At 35.8% G+C, this 24,097-nt stretch overlaps 1 protein-coding gene across 6 annotated transcripts in view; it reads left to right on the top strand.

The window, feature by feature from the left end:
• CSRNP3 (cysteine and serine rich nuclear protein 3) overlaps positions 1–24,097 on the top strand; it is a 219,710-nt gene that overhangs the window by 129,992 nt on the left and 65,621 nt on the right. The window lies entirely within an intron of this gene.

Genomic DNA, 24,097 nt, shown 5'->3' on the forward strand with positions numbered 1-24,097 from the left:
TACAAATTTTTAGGACATTTATTATTTATTATGCTGTCTAGATTAAGGTATGGGCTTCTCTGCAATGGTTTTGTTGGATGTGAATCAATGTTTATAAACTTTCAGAAATATTATTATTGATAAGTCCTATTTCTTTACTTTTTTTTACTTAAAATGATTACTTGTCTTATAGTAAAGAAGGATTTTTGAAGACTATCAAATTTGTGTAGCATTAACAAACAATTTAATTTCACATTGGGATTCTTTTTTTTTTTTTATTATACTTTAAGTTTTAGGGTACATGTGCACAATGTGCAGGTTAGTTACATATGTATACATGTGCCATGCTGGTGTGCTGCACCCATTAACTCGTCATTTAGCATTAGGTATATCTCCTAAAGCTATCCCTCCCCGCTCCCCCCACCCCACAACAGTCCCCAGAGTGTGATGTTCCCCTTCCTGTGTCCATGTGTTCTCATTGTTCAGTTCCCACCTATGAGTGAGAATATGCGGTGTTTGGTTTTTTGTTCTTGCGATAGTTTACTGAGAATGATGATTTCCAATTTCATCCATGTCCCTACAAAGGACATGAACTCATCACTTTTTATGGCTTCATAGTATTCCATGGTGTATATGTGCCACATTTTCTTAATCCAGTCCATCATTGTTGGACATTTGGGTTGGTTCCAAGTCTTTGCTATTGTGAATAGTGCTGCAATAAACGTACGTGTGCATGTGTCTTTATAGCAGCATGATTTATAGTCCTTTGGGTACATACCCAGTAATGAGATGGCTGGGTCAAATGGTATTTCTAGTTCTAGATCCCTGAGGAATCACCACACTGACCTCCACAAGGATTGAACTAGTTTACAGTCCCACCAACAGTGTAAAAGTGTTCCTATTTCTCCACATCCTCTCCAGCACCTGTTGTTTCCTGACTTTTTAATGATTGCCATTCTAACTGGTGTGAGATGGTATCTCACTGTGATTTTGATTTGCATTTCTCTGATGGCCAGTGATGGTGAGCATTTTTTCATGTGTTTTTTGGCTGCATAAATGTCTTCTTTTGAGAAGTGTCTGTTCATGTCCTTCAGTGTGGTTGCCCTTATTTAAATCTCACTCATCATGGGCTAATCTTTCAAATTTAAAATATCTCATGTACCCAGTGTTTTATAAGCACTAACATATTGTGTAACATAACATTTTGTTGTCATTACAAATACAGAAATTGATAAGATTGTTTGGTATGTGTCAACAGCTATGGTAGTAGAAAATTCCATGCTATTGTAAGCTTTCTGTTAAAATATCCAATTTGTAGCACACCACATTATGGTAATAAAAGCTTCAAAATATAAATCAATAAGGTCATTATGGCTTTTTCCTTGGACTTCTGAATTTTGCTAGGCAACAAGCATACTTACCAGTCATCAACCAAGGTCATATCTTGTACTTCCCTTGAGATAGAAACAGCAGAGTCTGTATTGCTGTGAAACGCTTTGTTTCATCAAATCCCTATGGCTCTATAGCCAATCAGCCTGTACTTGAGCACTGTCAAGAGGAGAGCTACAGAGAAACTAGAGAGGAATGATTTTTTTTCTGCCCTCTCAAGGTTCTTGGCACTTCACATAAGTAATGAAAAGCTATGTGCTGAGCCATAGTCCCAAAAGGAACACATTATGTCTCTTGAAACAGAGTGTTTCTACAAATAAATGTATAGTATTTAAGAAGTGAAAATATCAGGAAGTAAAAGGATACACATTCTAAATTGCACATGAATGCAAGCAGTGGATGTCCTACAATAGAATTAAGATTTTTTTTAATTTATGAAACACTTTCACATTCTTGAGTTCATTTAATAGCCAAAAAGTGTTGTGTGATTAGGAGCCAATTATCATGCCCTTTTATAAAAGTAGAAATTAACATTCATAAATGTACTTATACTTTACCCAAGAGCTAAGATACAATCTGTTTGCTTCCTTCCTTCCTTCCTTCCTTGTCTCCCTCCCTCCCTTCTCTCCTTCCCTCCCTCCCTTTTCTCTCTGAATACACAAGGCATAAATATGCCATCATGTGCACCCAAAGTCAGTCTTTCCCCAGTGTGATTTCCCTACTACTGGCTCCACATTTCATAATGGGATTAGACATAAAGAATCAATAGAAAACAGATTTGACATTAAACTTTATTAGAAGTATGACTGGAACATGCCTGTTCTCTTTACTAAGCAGTTAAAATGCATTGAAGATTTAGATTTAATTTCAACAAACATGGTATCTTATGTTACAGGCTCTGAGCTAGGACCTTTCAAACCTGTCAAAGTGATATATTCCAAACAGTAAATACAACTTGGCGATACAGTGATAAATTATGTCTACCCAGCATTGTAGTATTAGTTTGAGAACTAACTTTAGCAAAGACATATGTCGCAATCTACCCTGACTCAATGCTTTTGTAAACAATGGAGGAGTGTTCAGGCCAAGCTGAACACAAGAGTTTTAGAAGAAGTCTTTGCTTAAGCAGGAGGTAGGACATCATGACGCTCAAAAGATCCTTTCTAGCCTGTAATAATATGCTTATAAGAAACAGGATCCAAAATAGGCATCATAAGTTAGAGTCAAGGCCAAGCAGGAAAGGAAGCAGCATAGATAAAGGTGCCTCTGAAAATCTACTATTAAATTAAGAGGTTCCCAGACTCTTCACACCCACTTATGCCTGGAAAACAACCAATTAGCTTTGGCTTGGGGTACACAATCTGGGACCAGCTGCAGATCATATGTAGAAACATGCAGATCATAAATAGGTCATGTTCAGACATGGACCAGTTGAATCATTAGGTGTTTATTGTTGGAGATAAAGGAGTTAAGTAAATTATGAGTGGAGGAAGATATTTATGAGCTAGTAGTCCTCTGGAAAATAGTCACTTGGATATGCAATAAGGCCTGTTGTCTGATACAATAGAATTGTTATCAGATCATCTGTCTGCAAGATTGTGGACTCCAGTAATTATAAATCAGAAATAGTTAACCACTGCTACTTCTTCTGGTCTTACTGAGACCATCCTTCAAACAGAAATATCTTTTTTTCCTCCCAATTTCTGACTAAGTTCTATACCTGCTACAAGGTTCATATCAAATATTTCTTTCTCCATAAAAACTTCACCAAGTCTCTCTCATTTGACACATCCTCTTCGCCATCTCCTCAGAATCTCCTGATGTTTCTTTATTTTTTTATTTTTTTTAATTTTTTTTGAGACAGAGTCTCGCTGTCGCCCAGGCTGGAGTGCAGTGGCGCAATCTCGGCTCACTGCAGGCTCTGCCCCACGGGGTTCACGCCATTCTCCTGCCTCAGCCTCATGAGTAGCTGGGACTACAGGCACCTGCCATCGTGCCCGGCTAATTTTTTGTAGTTTTAGTAGAGACGGGGCTTCACCGTGTTAGCCAGGATGGTCTTGATCTCCTGACCTCATGATCCGCCCGCCTCGGCCTCCCAAAGTGCTGGGATTACAGGCGTGAGCCACCGCGCCCGGCCTGAATCTCCTGATGTTTCACAAACATTCACAAACTTTGGCAATGGTTTTCCTTCTTCTTTCCATCCTAGTATTTTCCATCAAACTGAGTGATGTCAGTTAACTGTGTGATGGCTCATAGAACTGATCAGCTTTGTGTTTCCTTGAGCACTCTGACCTGGATTCCTTACTTCAATTCCATTCATGTCTTTTACCACCACTCCATTTAGCACCTAATGTCTGCAACCTCACCCACAAGACGTTTGCAAACCAGACCAATTCTCCTTCTGAAATACTCAATTCCAGTATTACAAATTCAGATCATAACCTCTTTTCCTTCCACTTCCTTCCTCTCCTCATCCACTTTTTTTTAACCTCATCTCTTGTTTTCCCCAGTGTAGCACTCACCGCTTGTCTTTATATAAGTTTCCATGCCACACCAATTGCCCCATTATTTCAGTATTTTATTTTATTTAAAGGCCAGGACTCTTCACCACTTTCCTGCCATGTTCTTCACTCTATATCCATTTTTTATTCAAAACACTTGAAAACTTCTTTAAAAGTTTTGGAGAAAATGACAAAACTGTGTTTTCAAACTCAGCTACTTGTTAATGCCACACAAGCATCCCACCAGGTAGATTTTCTGGCCATCTCAAAGCACACAATGTTCATGTCTCCTCCAATCACTTTTCCCTCACCTCCTATTTCATGTACAGCAGAGCTTGCTTTCTCATCGTCTTGCACCCTTCATTCATATTTGTTATTACCCACATGTCTTTACCCTAATAGGCAGGGCTCTCAAAATGAGTTTTGAAGGAATTAATGTAAGCTTATTAAAAGCAGGAATGTATGTTTATCATCTGATCAGTACATGATAAGTATTTATATCAATGAATGAGTGAATGGATATTTATTAGGTATTTGAAACTTACCATTCACTGCACTAGTATTAGGAGGTGGAAATATAAAAGTAAACAAGACATGATCCAGTTTCTGCAGAAACTCACGATCTAACAGTATTTTAGCATTTCTCTAACACTTACTGTATTCTATTTTACATTGGAATTATTTATGCACACATCTTATCTTTTCTTGGGATTTATAGAACTTAACTGTGTATACTTCTTGCTACCTGGTGCTGGTTCAATTACTGTTAAATGCTTAATAACATTTAGCTTTGTAAAGTCTTGTCTTCTTTAGTACAACTAAGCCTTATAAAGTAAAAAAGAAAAAAGAGATGCATTTATTAGAAGACTTCACAATGGTACAAACATTAGTGGAAATAAATACCAATTTACAAGCTAACTGTAATTTATAATTTTGATGAGTGTCATTGTGATGTATCAGGATCCTGATTTATTACTTATCATATCTGAATACATGTAATGATGAACTGTGTTTTAAATAGTGTCTCACTATAATTATGCATTCTTAACATGTACCTTTCTGGTTTCATTTGCTTATATATAGCTTTACCAGGCAGAAACATCACTGTTTAATTGGATGCTGTGCAGCTATTTATGCAGGAACTGTATAACACACTTGAGGGAGTCTGAGTTGTTTTCACCTTCACCATCCTTTGAATTGGCTAGGAAAAAAGGGCATTACTAAGTCAGGTCACTAACATCATATAAATACAGTTCATTTAGTTCTTGTTTGATTTGTTTTAAATTCAGGATCAGGACCTCACATTTAGCCTTAAAAATAGTAACATTTGATTTAGCTCTTTATTTCAGCCTACTGAGATTTTTAAAAATTATTTCTGTCTTCTTATATATTTGCTTTTTCTCCCACAGTCACGTCTTATATAAATGTATCTGAAATCTGTCTACTTATCTCCATTTGTTTTGTACCATATCACCATCCTCTTTCTCCTGGACTGCTGCAGGAAAGAGCCTTCCAGACGCCCTCTCTGCTTCCTCTCTTGTTCAAGCCTCAGCCTCTTCTCTATGCTGGCATCTTTCAATCATTTTCAATTCATCAATCACTTTCAATTGAACTCATTACTGTGGCTTCCAGAATCCTGTACTCCCTTCCTATGCTTGAGCCTTCACTCTCCTGCCTTCTCTCCATCTCCAAACTCCAGCCACATTGATCTTTACTCAGTTCTTTGAACATGACAAATTTCCTTACCCTAAAATTCTGCTTGGAACAATGTTCCCATGACTGACTCCTCATATTTCAGGTTTCAGCTTAAATACCATTTCTTTAGTATAGCCATCCCTGGTCACCTCCATCTAAAGTACGTAGGCCCAAAGTCCTCATCTCTTAGAGAAATACATGAAAGTTTTGACAGAAAAAAAATGATAGATATATTGAAGCTGCTTTCAAATAACCCAGAAAAATAGAGCGATAGATGAAATGAGACTGAAAAAATATTGAAGCTTGGGGCTTACTATTCTACTGTTTACATTCATATATAATTAAAGTTTTCCACAATACATTTTAAAAATATAGATGCATATGATTGCCACTGTGCTACAGCCTGGATGACAATGAGAATATGTCTCTAAATAAATAAAAATTTAAAAAATTTATAGGTCCAACTTATCCTAAAATTTTCTGAAAGAGCCAGAGAATATGGCCAAGTATATTATAGTATATATTATATGGCCAAGTACATTCAAAATTATTCTTCTGAAAAAGAATAAGGAAGAGGTGAGGAGTATGCTTAGCCTAACAGATCTCAATACTTGAAAAGCTGAAATAGTTTAAAACCCATGGAATTAGCTCAAGAGTCTGTGCATGGAACAAATAGGGAGCATAGAATCAGAACCACATTTAAATGGCAACATGGTATGTGACGGAGGAGACATTGCAAATGAGTTGAGAAGTAAGAGTCTGTTCCAGTAAATGGCTTTTTAACAAAAAAGATAAAATTAGATCCCTACCTCATGCCATATATGAAAATAAATTCCCAATGAACTAAAAATCTAAATATTTTTTAAAATTATAAAATATACAAAAAAATAGGAAAATATATGTATGTCAGAGTAACATACTGTAGCATGAACTGTGAAAATTATTATGTATTTGGGTACATTAAAATAAAACTGAATATATAACCAAATACCCCACCAAGAAAGTGAAAAGACAAGCTACAGACTAAAAGGAGATATTTGTAAATCATTAACTGACGAGGAATTAGTATCTGAATATAAAAGAACTGCAAAAATAAGGAAGAGCTAATGCAGCAAAAAAAAAAAAAAAAAAAGTAGACATAGAACCTGAGCAGATAATACACAGAAAAAAGGCTAACACAATTATGAACAGCTGTGTAACTCTATTAGGAACCAGGGAAATTAAAATTGAAAGAAGACATCATTTCACGTATGTCATATCATCAGATTAGCAAAATTTTAAGGGTTTGAAAATACCATGTATTGACAAGCATGTGCTGAAGGAGGAACTCTCCTAACACTGGCATGAGTGTCAGGTGATTGAATTACTAAGGAAACCCAGTAGTGAAAAGTGAAAACGTGGAATAATTGTCCATTTGAATAGGATTGCATAAGGTGCAGTTGGTTCATATTATGATAAATTGGAAAATAAGTTGAATTGAATAGCCGGATGTACATGTATATGCAGTTAAGTGAAATATACAAGTTTCAAAACTCTACAGTATGATAGTATTTATGTAATTAAAACACACACGCACAGAGAGTGGCACCATTTTTTATGGAAGTAAAAATATAACATAGGAAGGGATAATACACAAAAATGTGAGGCTTAGAACCTCTAGGGATGAAGAGTAGAATGGATGGGATTGCCTTAGCTACACTCTCTTAACTTTTTTTTACATATTAAGAAAACCAATCTGAAATAAATATAGCAAAATATTAGCGTCCATAAATATGAGTATTAAGCACGTGTTATTTTCTAGAAGCTTGAAATAGTTTATAGTTTTTAAATATGTTTTATATATATACAATTTCAATTGGGATGAAAGTCCATAGATTTCCTTACCACGCCTTCGTGCCATTATTTTATCTTTCAGTAACTCCCTCCTCTTTTTCCTTCATAGGACATATCACAATTTGCAACTATTTTATAGTATACTAGTTTTCTTTTGTGTATCTGTCTTATTTTGCATTCCTATTAGGAAAGGGCAGAAGAACCTTGTAGCACCATATTAGAAACTTCCAGGCCAAACTTGGCCATCAATTAGAACTAAATTTTAACAAATCCATTCAGAGCATTCATCGTGTTCACAGTGATAACCAAGTGACACTGTCACATATTTTCTTCAGATCCTTTCATACATATTTATTACCAAGTCTTAAAAGTAGGGACCCATATCTTCCCCAGGTGTTCAGCTCCAGTCCCCACAGTGACATTTAGAAAAATCACCCATGGAAATTGCTTCTGTGCTATAAATACACTATCACTGTCACACTGTATATACAGTTATATGTTCCACATAACATTCTTCTCCTGAGGTATTAAAACAGAATATTATTTCTTTAGTTGATCATCAGTAAAGTAGTTGTCTTGTGTTTGGGAACCATTGTGAAAGAAAAATATGTAGGTTTGCTCTGATGTTTCTTTCCCTAGTGCATCAGTTGAACTTGTGAGAATGGACTTCACTGCAAACTCATTCCATTTGTTGTAACGGAAAAAGCCACAGCCAAGGAGCCAGAATATTCTCACTCTAGGTTTAGTTCTGTTACAGTTTACTCTGACTTTGGTTAAATCATTTAACCTGTTTCTTCTTTCGCAAAATGTGAGAATAGATTGGGCTTCAAAGTATTATAATTTGCATCAGATTCTAGTAATCCCTCTTCCCTCCAAATATAGTATGCCACCAATAGTCCCTTCTGCTTGAGTTATTTATAGTGTTATATTTGATGACATCTTTGTGTTTTCAAAGTTTATGCTTGTGTGCTATTATTTACCCACGTATATATATATTATATATATATACATAAGTTTAATCGAATATTTTATTATGGCTTGTAGATCCCACAAAAATGAAAATCGTGAATTATTTTATTGGATTTTGTTTGGGGGCTGGCTTAATTAAACAGATAATGCACTCAAAGTATCGTACATTAGAACTGTGGAAAAGACAGTTTAAAAACTAGATCTTAGTAAAAATAGGAAATGATGGTTGGAAAAGGGAGTTGTATGTGTATGTTGTTCCACTGACAATGAAACAAAATTTATGTACTTAATGATTTTTAACAACTATCTTCAAAGCTGCCTTTCACTGGCATAAGTAAATGTTAACTTTGGAACGGTTCATGAACACAGAGGAATATTCTAACTGGAATTTTTAAAAGAAAGTAACAAAAGAATTAAGAGCTGGAAGGAATGATTTACCTGGAACATTTTTAAAAACAGATAGTCATCTGATATCACGAAATGTTATTTATAAACCTTAATATCTACATTTGTCTCATGTATGTGCTAATTGTGGTGAGCTTAACCCTACTTGTTAACAGAATATGCAGGCATATAAACAGTATATTTTAAAAGGTTTTACTGTCTTAAAATATCTTCTACCATATGACTGAAATTCCCACCATTAATGTGATCCCTTTGGGGTGGTTCCTTTGTGATGACTATTAAAATCCCCATATAGATAGCAGTCTGGTAGTTAAAAATGTAAAAAAATTAAAAAAAAAAAAAGTGCCTGGCCAGGTGCAGTGGCTCACGCCTGTAATCCCAGCACTTTGGGAGGCCGAGGAGGGCAGATCACGAGGTCAGGAGATCCAGACCATCCTGGCTAACACAGTGAAACCCCGTCTCTACTAAAAATACAAAAAAAAAAAAAAAAAAAAAAATTAGCTGGGCATGGTGGCGGGCGCCTGTAGTCCCAGCTACTTAGGAGGCTGAGGCAGGAGAATGGCGTGAACCTGGAAGGCAGAGCTTGCAGTGAGCTGAGATGGCGCCACTGCACTCCAGCCTGGGCGACAGAGCAAGACTCCGTCTCAAGAAAAAAAAAAAGTAGTGTCTGGAGTCAGATTACCTAAATTCTCATAAAAGATGTTCTACTTAGAGGCCAGGCGCAGTGGCTCACGCCTGTAATCTCAGCACTTTGGGAGGCCGAGGCAGGAGGATCACGAGGTCAGGAGATCGAGACCATCCTGGCTAACATGATGAAACCCCGTCTCTACTAAAAAAAAATACAAAAAATTAGCCGGGCACGGTGGCGGGCGCTTGTAGTCCCAGCTACTCGGGAGGCTGAGGCAGGAGAATGGCGTGAACTCGGGAGATGGAGCTGGCAATGGGCCGAGATGGCGCCACTGCACTCCAGCCTGGGCGACAGAGTGAGACTCCGTCTAAAAAAAGAAAAAAAAAAAAAAAAAAAAAAAGAGGCAAGTAATGTAATATCCCCCACCTTTGGTTTTCTTATCTATAAATACTGATAAAAAAAAAAGTACACTGTCTGCCTTATAAGCTAAAATGAGTGAATACAGGCAAAATGCCTTACATTTTACTTTACATTTACTAAGCACCCAGAAAATGTTAACTATGATGACAATTATGATGATGATGATATTGATATTTTCAAGGAGGGACATCGTACATTTTATTAATAGTTATTCAGAAATTCTAACTAAACAGGGAGTAGGTCTCCAGACAAAAGAGACATGTGACAGTTATGCGTTTGGAAGAGTGGGAGAGAAGCCTGGAAAAGATCGAGAAGAGAGATGCAAATATTAATATCTTTAGATGTAGGCAGATCATGTAACTATGAGAAGCAGCCAGGTGTATGACAAGAGGGATGAATCACAGCCGCTATGGAAGTAAGAGTTCCCAGTATTTATTCTTTCTATTCTTGCTGGCATTAGTCCTAAAATATCATGAGTCGAGAATAATAATCACAGCAGTAATAATTGGCATTTATCGAACTTTCATTAAACATTCAATGGGAGGGACTGCACTGACATTTTATGTGCATTATCTTACTTACTTAGCGCAATCTATGAGGCATCTGAAGCTTGGAAAGATTTTAAGTAGCTGCCTTTTTATGAAGCCAGTAAGCAGTCAGGCGAGCCTTTGATTCTACGTTAGTCTGACTGTGGGGTCTTGTGCTTTAATATCATTATATTGTATTGTTTCCCACAGTGAGTGTTGAAAACAGCATAATCAATCTTTCTTAATCTAGCATCTTTTCCAAATTTCCGCAAACATAACATTTTGCATCCAACTCAGAAAATATAGTAAGGTGTACTGCTAATTAATAAAACAGCACATAGACTCCATTTTAAATGAGATAAGCTCTACAAATATTAGACAGTCTGGGTTCAAACACCCTGTATTTGCTTACTAACTCTTTTATGCGTAAAACTTTTTGTACTGGCATCATGCATCTTTCTCTTCTGATGCCATGGCTAATAGTCAGAACTTTGGCCTCTTGGTTTTTTCTGAAACTGAACCACCTCAGTCTTCATTTGTATTTATTTATTTGAGTGGTATTTTCATTTCCTTTGAGTAAAAGGAGAAAGGAAGAAGAGTTGCTGACGCTGTCATGACTGAAGGGGTAAGATTAGGCATTGTGGCACCTCTCAGCCAGGGCTGCTTCCTTACAGGAAGTGCTTCAGAGCTGCGGAGATGGGAGTGATTTAGCAGCTGCCTCCCCCTTGATTGACCGCATCAGGCTTTAAAAATATCAATGGATTCATCAGCATCAACCCTTTGCAGAACTCTCTTGAAGACTATCGTAATGGAAACATGTGAGAGCTTTTATGAGTGCACTCCAAGATATGATTTATGGGAAATAGTCGCAACAAGTGTTTGCTTGAAGTCTGTTAGAGTCATTCCTCTGAACTCTAGGCACTATCAGAACATCAATAAAGCATGAATTTTGAGTAAAGACCAAGGCAGATAAATAAGTATTGGCGTTGGTATTTCTGGAAATTTTTCTGGAACATTTATCAAGGACAATTTGCTAGAAGAAATGGATAGTAACCTGATGCTTAAAAGTTGAAGAGGGAGGGAGGGAGGAGGGAAGGAAGAGATAATACATTTGACTAGATTGAAAATGTATATTTACATGCTCAGAATATGGGATTAGGAAAAGAAAAAGTGTAGTAAGCAAGGGGAAGTATTGCAGAATGGAGATTTGTGCTTGGCTCAGGCATGTAGACAGCAAGCAAGTGAGGGATAAATGAGAACACTGAAGATGATAACTATGTGAGGCAACACAATTGTTAATTAGCTAGATTTAACCATTTCACGATATATGTGTGTGTGTGTGTGTATATACATACATATATATATGTATATACTTTGAAACATTATGTTGTACATGATAAATACACACAATGTTGTCTGTCAAATTAAAAAAATAAAAGAATAAAAATTATAAAACCAATTTCTACTGTACCAGATATCACCTCTTAGTTTCTAGTTACTTTTCATTTCAACCTCATGATAAGGGTGGGTTTCCTTTCCAGTGGTAAAAAAAATGTGAGCTTTAAAAATGATGCTTACTCTTACACTTTACATAAATTAACATATTTTAGTTCTCACTGCAATTCTGTGAAATAGGTTCTATTTTTAATCTTAATTTTACAGATGATGAAACTGGAATGTCAAGAAGTTCAATAACTTTCCAAAGGATCTTACTGTTAGTAAAGTTGTGAAGCCAGATTCAAACCCAGACCAGTCTCAGTTCAGTGTTTGAACTCTTAATATAATGCCTGTCTGTAGACGCTTCAAAGTTTCTACTTAATTATATATAATTCTTAATCTAACTTGATTTTAACATATGCGGAATTCTCCATGGGTGTAGTTAATTTTCCAAGTATAAAATAAAATCTTTGTAATTTACTTAAAGTCTTTATCGTATAGCTTTATTTATAGTGCCCCAAAAGTAAAAACATTTATAATTTAACACATTTGCTCTTGCCTTTATCTTTTTTTCTATAAAAGTTACCTTTACATTGTCTAGGTAATATTTACAAAACCACAAGATGCTTGCAAAAGTACTAAATGCTTTTTGCTATATACAAAGATGTTCTTTGAAACGTTATTTTTGTTGCATTCTTGGAAGCCAATTAATTCTCTAATTTTCAAAATTGTATTATGTCTATAGTAACAAAATTGATTACCTTATAATTTCTGAATAATAAACTATGCATGTGTAAAGCAGTGTGCAAAAGAGTACTATATGACCTGCATTAATTTTACTAACATTTGGGGAAAAGTATCAGTTATAACCACCTAAATCAACATACAAATATCAGTAGTGTGTCTATACTTCAGTAATGGACTAGAAATGATCATTTCTCTGTGTTGTGAACATTCAAAATCCTCTCTTGTAGCTTTCTGAAAATATACACTAAATTATTGTTAGCCATTTTCACCCTACAGGGGCCACAGAACACTAGAATTTATTTCTCCCATCTAGCTATAACTTTTTATCTATTCATCAACGTCTTCCTGTCCTCCCTCTTCCCCTACAATTCCCAGCCTCTAATAATCACAGTTCTACTCTCTACTTTTATTAGCCCAAATTTTTTTTAGCTCTCACATATAAATGAGAACATGAGTGGTATTTGTCTTCCTGTGTCTGACTTATTTTATTTAACATAATGTCCTCCAGGTTCATTCATGTGGCCATGAATGACAGGATTTTATTATTTCATGGGTGAAAAGTATTCTATTGTGTATATATACCACATTTTCTTTATCCATTCATCTGTTGATGGACAATTAGGTTGATTCTGTATACTGGCTATTGTGAATAGCGCTGCAGTAAAGTTGGTATCTCTTCAATATACTGATTTCCTTTCTTTTGGATAAATATCCATTAGTGGGATTACTGGATCATGTGGTAGTTATATTTGTAGTTTTTTAAAAGATACCTCCATACTATATTCCATAATGGCTGTACTAATTTACATTCTTACCAACAGTGTATTCGTGTCACCTTTTCTCCACATTTTTTGCAGCACTTGTTATTTTTTTGTCTTTTTTATGAAAGCCATTCTAGTTGGAGTGACATGATGTCTGATTGTGGTTTTGATTTGCATTTCTTTGATGATTAGTGATGCCGAGCATTTTTTAATAATACTTGTTGGCTATTTATATGTCTTCTTTAGAAAAATAACTGTTCAGATCCTCTGACCATTTTTAATTGGATTGGTTTTTTGTTCTTGAGTTGTTTGAATTCCTCATATAGTCTGGATATTAGTCTCTTGTCAGATGAATAGTTTGAAAATATTTTCTTCACTCTGTTGATTGTTTCCTTTGTTGTGCACAAGCTTTTTATCCTGATATAGTCCCATGTATCTATTTTTGTTTCTGTTGCCTACATTTTTGAAGTCTTACCCATGAACTCTTTCCTTAGACCAATGAGATGAAGAATTTCCCCTGTGTTTTCTTCTGAGAGTTTTATGGTTTTGAGCCTTATGTTTAAGTCTTTAATTCATTTGGAATTGATTTTTGTATACAGTGAGAGATAGGAGTCTGGTTTACTTTTTCTGCATATAGATATTCAGTTCTCACCAAACCACTTATTGAAAAGACTTATCCTTCCCCCATTGTATGTTCTTGCCAGCTCTGTTGAAAACAGGTTGGCTGTAAATGCATGGATTTCTATTTGGGTCTTCTGTTCTGTTCCAGTGGTCTATGTGTGTGTTTTGATGCCAGTACCACACTATTTTGGTTACTACAGCTTTGTAGTGGATTTTGAAGTCAGGTAATGTGATGCCTCCAGCTTTGTTCTTTTTGCTGAGAATTGCTTTGGCTATTCAGGGTCTTTTGTAGTTCCATATGACTTTTAGAGTGTTTTTTTTTTTATTCTGTGAAGAATGTCATTGGTGTTTGATAGAGATTGCGTAGATTTGTAAATTGCTTTGAGTAGTATGGTCGTTTTAACAATATGAATTCTTCCAATCTGTGAGCATGGATGTCTTACTATTTTTTGTGTCCTCTTCAATGTCTTTCATCAGACATTTCTTCAATGTCTTTTCATCACACCACTATGCCTCGCTAAGGTTTGTAATGTTCATTGTAAGATCTTTCTTACAATGTGTTAGATTTATTCACAGGTTTTTTTTATTTGTAGCTGTTTTAAATTGATTTATCTCTTTCTTTTTCAACTAGTTCATTATCAAAGTATAGAAACACTACTGATATTTGTATGCTGATTATGTATCCTGCGACTTTACTCTTAATTTATTTATCAGTTCTAACATCTTTTTGGTGGACTCTTCAGGTTTTTCTACATATAAAATCATGTCATCTGCAAAGAAGGACAATTTGACTTACTTTTCCAATTTGGATGTCCTTTATTTCTCTTGCCCAATTGCTATGATCAAGACTTCTAGAACTATGTTGAATAAGAGTGGTGAAAGTGGGCATCCTTGTCTTTTTCCCGTTTTTAGAGTAAAGGCTTTCAGCTTTTCCCTATTCAGTATGATGTTAGCTGTGTGTTTGTCATATATGGCCTTTATTGTGTTGATCTATGTTCCTTCTATATCTAATTTCTTGACAGTTTTTAATCATGAAGGATTGTAAGATTTTATCAAATGCTTTTTCTACATCTATTAAGATAATAACGTGGTTTTGGCCTTTATTTTGTTGATGAGTTGTAACACATGTATTGATTTGTGTGTGTTGATGTGTTTACATTTTCATTCATTTCAATAACATTTTTTAAACTTCCATCTTTATTTCTTCACTGACCTAATAAATGGTTAGGAGCATGTTATTTAATGTTCATGTATTTTTATACTTTCTAAAGTTCTTCTTATTATTGATTTCTAGTTTCTTTTTCATTGTGGACTGAGAAGATACTTTACATGACTTTGATATTTTTCTATTTGTTAAGATTTGTTTTGTGGCCTAAAATATGGTCTATCCTGGAGAATATTCCATGTGCTGATGAAAAGAAAGTGTATTCTTCAGCCATTGGATTTAATGATCTGTAAATGTCTGTTATTGTCATTTGGTCTATACTGAAGTTAAGTTCTATGTTTCTTTGTTGACTTTTGTCTAAATCATCTTTCCAATGCTGAAATGTGGTGGTGAAGTCCTATTATTGCTTTTGTGTCTCTCTTTAATAATATTTGCTTTATATATCTGAATGCTCCAGTGTTAGTTGCTATATATACTTAGAATAGTTATATCCTTTGCCGGGTGTGGTGGCTTACCCCTGTAATCCCAGCACTTTGGGAGGCCGAGTCGGGCAGATCACAAGACCAGGAGATCAAGACCATCCTGGCTAACATGGTGAAACCCCATCTCTACTAAAAATACAAAAAATTAGCCGGGTGTGGTGGCGGGTGCTTGTAGTCTCAGATACTCAGGAGGTTGAGGCAGGAGAATGGTGTGAACCCGGGAGGCAGAGCTTGCAGTGAGCCAAGATTGCGCCACTGCACTCTAGCCTCGGTGACAGAGCAAGACTCCATCTAAAAAAAAAAAAAGAATTATAAAAGAATTGTTATATCCTCTTGCTGAATCAATCCCTTAATTATTATATATAATGCTTTTGTCTCTTTTCATTTTGTAACTTAAAATCTATTTTGTCTGATGTAATTATAGTTATTTCTGCATGCTTTTGTATTCTGTTTACATGGAATATCTTTTTTTCATCCCTTCACTTTTATTTATTTATTTTTTTTGAGACAGGGTCTCTCTCTGTCACCCAGGCTAAAGTGCACTGGTGCAATCACAGCTCACTGCAGCATCGACCTCCTGGGTTCCTGAGAATATGGCACTATAGGCACATACCACCATATCTGGCTAATGTTTGTGGGGTTTTTTTTTTTTTTTTTTTTTTTTTACAGATTGGGTCTCACTATGTTGCCCATGCTGGTCTTGAACTCCTGGGCTCAAGTGATCCTCCTGCCTCAGCCTTCTGAGTCACTGGGATTACAGGCATGAGCCATCATGCCCAGCTTCCATCCCTTCACTGTTATTCTTTGTGTATCTTTACAGATGAAGTGAGTTTCTTGTGGGCAACATATAATTGGGTTTTGTGTTTTTATCCATTCATCCAGTCTATATTTTTTAACTGAAAAATTTAAACTGTTTACATTTAAGGTTCTTATTTATAGGTGAGGACTTAATCCTATCATTTTGTAAATCAGTTTTTGATTGTTTTGTGTATACTTGGTTCCTTTCTTACTTTCTTATTGTACATATTTGTGTTTTGGTGGTTTTTCTGTAATGATAACATTTAATTTGTTTCTCATTTGTTTCTTTCTCATTTGTGTATCTGCTGTACCAGTACATTTTATACTTTTATGTATTTTTATGATGGTAGATATCATTTTTTACTTCCAGATGTTAGACTTCCTGAAGCATTTCCCGTAGGACCAGACTAATGGCAATTAATTCACTCAGGTTCACCTCTCTGGTAAATAATTTATTTCTCTTTCATTTTGAAGCATAGCTTTGCTGAGTTATTTTTAACTAACTTTTTATAAAAACACTTTGAATATATTATCCCCTTCTCTCCTGAACTGTAGATTTCTGCTCAGAAATCTGCTGTTAATGTGAGAGAGATTCCCTTTTATATGAATTGATGCTTTTCTGTTACTGTTTTAAAAATTACCTATCTTTGACTTTTGATGGTTTGACTATAATGTCTCTTGGAGAGAATCTTTTTGAATTAAATATATGTTGGATTGTTTCAGCTTCTTGTGTTTGGATGTCTAATATCTCTTCCAATATTTGGTCATTTGATGTTTTCCCACATTTTTCCATTCTTTAAATTTGTTTTTTTGTTTTTTGTTTTTTGGTCTGACTGGGTTATTTCAAAAGACCTATCTTCAAGTTTAGAAATTCTTACTTCTGCTTGAGCTAGCCTATTGTTGAAGCTCTCAGTTGTATTTCTTATTTTATTCATTGAATTCTTCAGTTCAAGGATCAGTTTGTTTCCTTTTTATATCTAATACTCTTGAATTTCCCATTCAGATCCTGAATGATTTTCTAATTTTTTTATTGTCTATCCGTATTCTCTTGTATCTCACTGAGTTTCTTTAAGACCATTATTTTGAATTACTTATCAGGCATTTCATGGGTTTCCTTTTCTGTGAGGTCTGTTGCTGGAGAATTACGGTTTTCGTTTGGAAGTGTCATGTTTCCGTGCTTTTTCATGTTTCTGTATCATTACATGATAGCTGCACATCTGGCATAATAATTGCTTCTTCCAGTTTTATGGAGGTAGCTTTCATATGGAAAGAATTTTTCTTGTAGATGCATCTATAGTGTAAATTGGATAGGGTACTTTAGTTTTGGTTTTGGGTGGGCATTGTAGCCTAGTGTCCATATGATTTCCTTGGCTGTAGTCAGTATCAGTAATGTCTACGTTCCTCAGTGGCTTAGGCAGCAGTTGTTTGTGGAGGCTGTGGTGAGGCTTTGCTGGAGACTGTGGTGCCAGGCAGGACAATCCTCAGGCCCCTAGGTGGCACATGTGTGGACACTGGCTGTGGTGATGATGGGCTGGGCAGGCTGGGCCTTGGATCCCTGGTTGGTGCATGCAGGCACTAGCAGTGGTTATAGCAACCCAGAAGGGCTGTATTTCCTCTCCGTAGATGATACGCATATGCAGGTGTGTGGTGGTCCCACAACTGGAGGGGATGGTCATAGCAATGGTAGTCCCAGGCATGTGGCCTTCAGGCTCTGTTAGCCCATTCTTCAGCTCCCTATGTCCTGTGCGTGGCCCACATAATGTGCTTGACCAATTGTTCCTAGGGGTGTAGGGCACTGCATAGGCTTGGGTGCTGGAGATGCAGCTGAAGCACTGGGTCCAGCTGGTGTCACAATGCCATAGCACTCTGAGTGGATGTGGAGAGATGTTGGCAGGACCCCAAGGATGTCAACATGCAGCGGTTATTGGGCCCCAGGGCAGGGTGTAGTCTGAATGTTGGCTCTGCTTTTAAAATGGTGCCATGCTGCAGCGGCTTGAGTCCTGGGGAGTGGGTAGGACCAAGCATGAATTTCCTCTCTAGAACAGTGTAGTAATGTGAACTACATGCAGCTGCCTGTACTTGGCTAGGGCCTGTGAGAAGCAAGAAGCTCTTCTGTAGCTAGGATTGCAGGTATCTATGATGGGAATATGGTTTACTGAGGATCTCTCACTTACATTTTTCTTGCAGTGGGGACTCCATCCTGGCTTTGAGCCAGTCCTGGCTGGCTGCTTTGCTTTCCTCTCTGTGCTGCCATCTCAAGTTTCTGTACTTCAGAGGGTCCCTGTCACTTCCCTGCTGAATTCCAGTGTTCTCCCTTAGACACTGTATTTGACATGTTAGCTACAAACAGTTTTGGTTCTTCTCTGCGAAGCATGTTATCTTATTAACATAGCTGTCATTGTCATCAATATTTGCTAATACAGACTACCCAAATAGTACTGTCATTTAATTGGGCTCTATGCATTTCATAAAGTTGGGCACCCTTGCTATTGAGGAGCAATAGCAACAGAAAGATCATATGAACCAAAAGCTAAACAAATTGAACATTTACACATATTACACAATTTCATAGAACTATGTAGCCAGCATTAGGAAATATTTGCTATCCATTCACCTCTTCCTCTTGTCCAGAGCCCACACAGAGCAAATCATATATGTGGAAGGATTATAGAGCGCTAGAAATAATAGCCTTCATGGGGATGAGAAATGCTCTAAGGTGAAATATGAAGACTGTATTAGGAGAAAATATTTTGAGTTGGTCTTAAAGGATGACTCAGTAATATACTAGAGGTTGGAGAAAGTAGTCTATACCAGTATTGTGCTAGATTATCCTTATGAAGGTTTTAATTATGTGGTGTGAATTTGAAAAGCTGTTCAAACATTCGGTAACATGCTAGGAATACACTTCTTTTCATTTAGACATACCCTTCCTTTTCTTTCTTTAGGGATGGTTAAATAGTTGATAGCACTTTAAAGTCATAAAACTGTCAGTCATGAATTAGTTAGTGTGAGTGCCTTTGTCTCTAAAGGAAGTTACATGAGGGTCCCAGTGTTGTGGGTATCTTATTATAGGAGAACTAAAGTAAAATAGAGAAAAAGAGCAACCAACAGTTAAACTAAAGCTAAATTTCTTAGGTAAATACTTTTACCTATGATTGTTCCTAGAAGACGACAGAGTAAATGGGGATTTAGTATAGGAAAATCTCTTCTTCTATGTCCTAATTTTTCATTTTTTGACTTGTAACATTTAAAAATTACAGGATATTTATCTTCCTACCTAAACTCCTTCTGATTCAAATTCATACAATCCGAAAACTACAACTATGGAGTCATATTGACTCTTTTTGCTACCAGAAAGTATTTTATTAGTGGTGAGGCTAAGGAACAAACAGTGTTTCTCAGGGGTTAGTTTGTTGGGGACCACCTATGAATTTTTTCATGCCCTATCGTACCTCATAGCTACTGGCAAAGTCAAGAAAGTGGCAGAAATCTCTAGAGAGAATATGTCATTTACAAAATCAATTATAAAGTTCTACACACATACAAACACACACACACACAAAATGGAAGACACTATCAAAAAGTGAAGAATTAGAGGCTCAAATTCTTGCCTGATATCCTAGCATTTATCCACTAACAAATATCCTAATATAAGGAGGTTTTAACCTGGTATATTTCCCTAGTAGTCAGTCTGACAAAGATAATGAATTAAATATATAACCACCTAAGTCAGAGGACTTTTTATCTTTAAGATTTCTAAACTTGAAATTCCAAGTATAAAAAGTTAAAAGCTTTCAAATGTATTAGGGCAGCCATTCATCTAGTTAATTAAGTTAAACTTGCTACTTAGGTTGGGGGTACATATTCTTAGTAAGAGCAAGACTTGGAAACAAAAGGAAAATTCTGAGACGAAGGGTCTAAATCTGAAGTGGACACCCAAAGAAAACGCATTTCTCCTCTTATTCCTAGGGAACTGATATATCACAGAAGCAAAAATACTTAGTTGCAATATTTTTAAAAAGTAGAAATAAAGTCAGTTTTCTAGTTAAAATTACTACATGGTTTTCCATAATTGTTGCAAGACAAAGCATATAAGCATGATAAATTTTTACACAGTTTTTCTTTGTGATCAATGTGATATATAGCCAGAGCTTATGTCCATATAAATCTTCCAAAAATTGTCCAAGAAATCTAATAATCTGCTGTGCAAAGAAAAAGGAAGAAAGAATCAAACATTGCCTGGAAAGTGAATAAATAATATGTTTAAGTGTATATATTTTTAAAATCTATGCGACTGATTTTATAATGAAATAAAACATATCCACTTAATTACAGGTCCAAAGTGGCTATTTTCCATTATTTTTCCAATTAAAAGATGATGTGAGGAATAATTTTGATATTAAAAAGGAACCTCAGTCTTGAAAATATTAAAAAACCATTGCCACCAGATACTAAAATGTGATTTACTTAGAAATAAGGAAATGTCTAACAGGGCTGGAAAGGTAGACTGTTCACATTTATTAGCATCTCACAGATGTCTCTTTCATTTACAAATAGCTTGATTTGTTAAAATCAACAGTACAAAAATGTTCATTTTGTGGCTGATTTTCCATTATATTCTATAATGTAAACCAATAGTAGGTCATATTAGTACTGGTAGCCCATAAATGCAGTGGCTGGTACCTTACATGTGGTATTTGTAAGGTGCCTCCTAATTTAGTGAATCCACACATATTTTCATAGAAGAAGTTTATCTGTAGGATATTATATTATAATTCCTTTACTACAACCAAAATGTCAATGTTGCCCATGGATTAAGAGGCCTCAAGTTTTCCTTTCCATCCCTGAATTACATTTTTATCCTTATATATTATAATATTATCATTGTGTTTTATCCTTTATATATAAAACTAATTATTTAACCCACTTTTTTCTAGTCTGCTTTTCTTCAAAATTACACTTTAGGAGAGAAATGACCATCATATAGGTAACCTGGCCTCTCTTATCTTATTTAATTTCTTTCCTGATTATGAAAGAACATAAATATATGATCACATTAAGATTTATCTTAAGCTCAAAGTCAGAATCCAAACTAAACAAATCCCAGTTCCTGGTTAGCAGTCGTGGGTCATTGTAGTCCCGGGCATTGTATTGAGTCCTGTCTGACCACAGATGTTCTTGGCAGCTTTTTCTGCAGGCGTCCTACCAAAATATTATTATTTGTTCTGCTTGCCTCCTTCAGTCCTTTTTTTTTTTTTTTTGAAATACCACTGATGCCAATTCTGGCTTTTCATCTCACTTTCCTCCCAGTGGACACAATTTTCCTCAAGTATTCTTCTATTTGATATGCTAAGAATGGAAGGTACAGAACAAAGAAATAAAATATGGCCTGGCCCTCAAGGAATTCCTAGTTTTACCGATGAGAAAAGGAGACATGATTTCCAGTGGAGCATAGAATGAGTCAGCAGAAGCAATAAAAAGTACGTGAAGTAGCACAGAAGCAGAATATTACTTTTTAAAAGGAGTGTGGACCAGGAATCTCTTACAGAGAAGAGTATGTTTAGCTGTTTTGTTTTGTTTTTGTAGAAAATAATATAGTTTTATTAAAGAGAATTTAGTTCAAGTTATCATTATCCCTTTCTATTTGTTGTTGTTGTACCACTGGAGGAAAAAAATGGTTTATTTTAAACACTTTTGTTACATTTTAGTCTTGATACCTGCAACACACAATTTACAAACATGCTTTATCTTCCTTTCTCTACTGCCCTGGTTTTATTTAGTCCTTACCTCTTATTATTTTGATTTTCCACTTGATATTTCTACCTATGTGTGCTATTAAGTGTTTCTACAGATGAGAATGTTTATTTTGTTCTTTAGAGCATTCAGCTTTACCACTTAGAGAATTTTCTTCAGATCATTTGACACATTTCCCTACTCTCACAAATGGCAGGCAGAGCTTTCTTCTTTGAGCTGGTCTCTTTATTCTATTTTGAAACATCTCCTTTCTAAAAGGCATCTTACTCTATTCTGCCATATATTTCACATTAAAAAAAATAACTTCTGAGATTACCATGACATTTGGAAAAGAGTATCTCTAAATTTGAACTTTTAAAGTTATTTTTCTTTACAGGTAAGTATTTTTAATTCTAGCAGCCTATTTCCCTTCTTTCATAAATGTATTGTTCATCATGCTATTAGGCAGCCAATTCTCTGTAATTTTCGTTTGGCTTTATACATCTTTTGATTGGTTAGTTCTTGATATATACATTTTTGTAGGCATCAAAATATTTGTGTTTCTAAAAATAATATACTAAAGAAGCCTACATTTAAATACCTTTTTTGATATCTATATATTAGTTTAACTGCTGCAACAAAATAATAATAGCTTTAGTTACATTGTATAGTTTATGTTTAAGCATATTATGTAGCTTAAACAAAATAGAAGTTTGTTTCTCTCCACTTAAAACTCTAATCATAAGTAGTCTACTGCTGCTGTGAAGGCTCAATGGGTTTGAGAACTCATGATTCTTCTATCTCGTTGATCCACCATATTTAACACTGTTTCTATCTTGTGTTTGAAGTTGGCTACATCAGATCCTGACACCATGTTCCCATTTCTCCAGTGGGAAGGAGATAAGAAAGAAATGGTAGAAAAGATACTCTTTTAAAAACAAAACCAAAGTTGCCATATACTGTTCTTACTCATACCCATTAGTCAGAAGTAAGTCACAGGATCCCACTTAACTGCAAGGAAGGCTGGATCACTAGCTTAAAATTCACTAGCTTAAAATTATATTACTAGAGAAGAAATAAAGATATTGGAGAAAGAGCTACTAGTCTCCATTACAGTCTATACTCACTCGTAACACTTTCTTCTCCTCCAACCCAGACATTATGTTTTTAGGAATTTGCACTGTACCTGTATGAGGCGTCTCCATACCTAGGCTTTTTGGTATGCAGTAGGCTCCCTGTATCTGCAGGTTCTGCAGCCACAGATTCGACCAGCCTTGGGTTGAAAATATTTAAAACATAAATAAATAAAATAAAAAAATGACAATTTTTGAAAGGATACAGTATAACAACTATTTACATGGTATTTATATTGTATTAGGTATTATAAGTAATCCACAGATGATTTAAAGCAGGGGTGCCCAACCCCTGGGCCATGGACTGGTACCTGTCTATGGCCTGTTAAGAAGTGGGCCGCACAGCAAGGAATGAGAGGCAGGCGAGCAAGCATAACCGCCTGAGCTACGCCTCTTGTCAGATCAGTGGGGGCATTAGATTCTCGTGGGAGCACAGATCCTATTGTGAACCGCTCATGCATGGGATCTAGGTTGCGTGCTCCTTATGAGAATCTAATGATAAACGTAATGCACTTGAATTATCCCGAAACCATCCCTCCCCAGTCCGTGGAAAAATTGTCTTGCACAAAACCAGTCCCTGGTGCCAAAAAGGTTGGGGACCACTGATATAAAATATATGGAAGGATGTGCATAGGTTCAATGCAAATACTACACCATTTTATATCAGGAACTTGAGCATTCATGGATTTTGGTAACAGTGGGGATCCTAGAACGAATCCCCCATGGATACTAAGGGAACACTGTAATCATGCTTTTGTGCTATATTTACATACTGACTTTTTAATACCCCTAGGCAGCAACATCTACAACCATAAGATATTTTAACAGTGTACAGTCACTGAGGACTCTCCCTCCTTCCTGAATTCCTACTTCT

This window comes from Homo sapiens, chromosome 2, assembly GCF_000001405.40.
Source record: "Homo sapiens chromosome 2, GRCh38.p14 Primary Assembly".
NCBI classification, from domain to species: domain Eukaryota; kingdom Metazoa; phylum Chordata; class Mammalia; order Primates; family Hominidae; genus Homo; species Homo sapiens.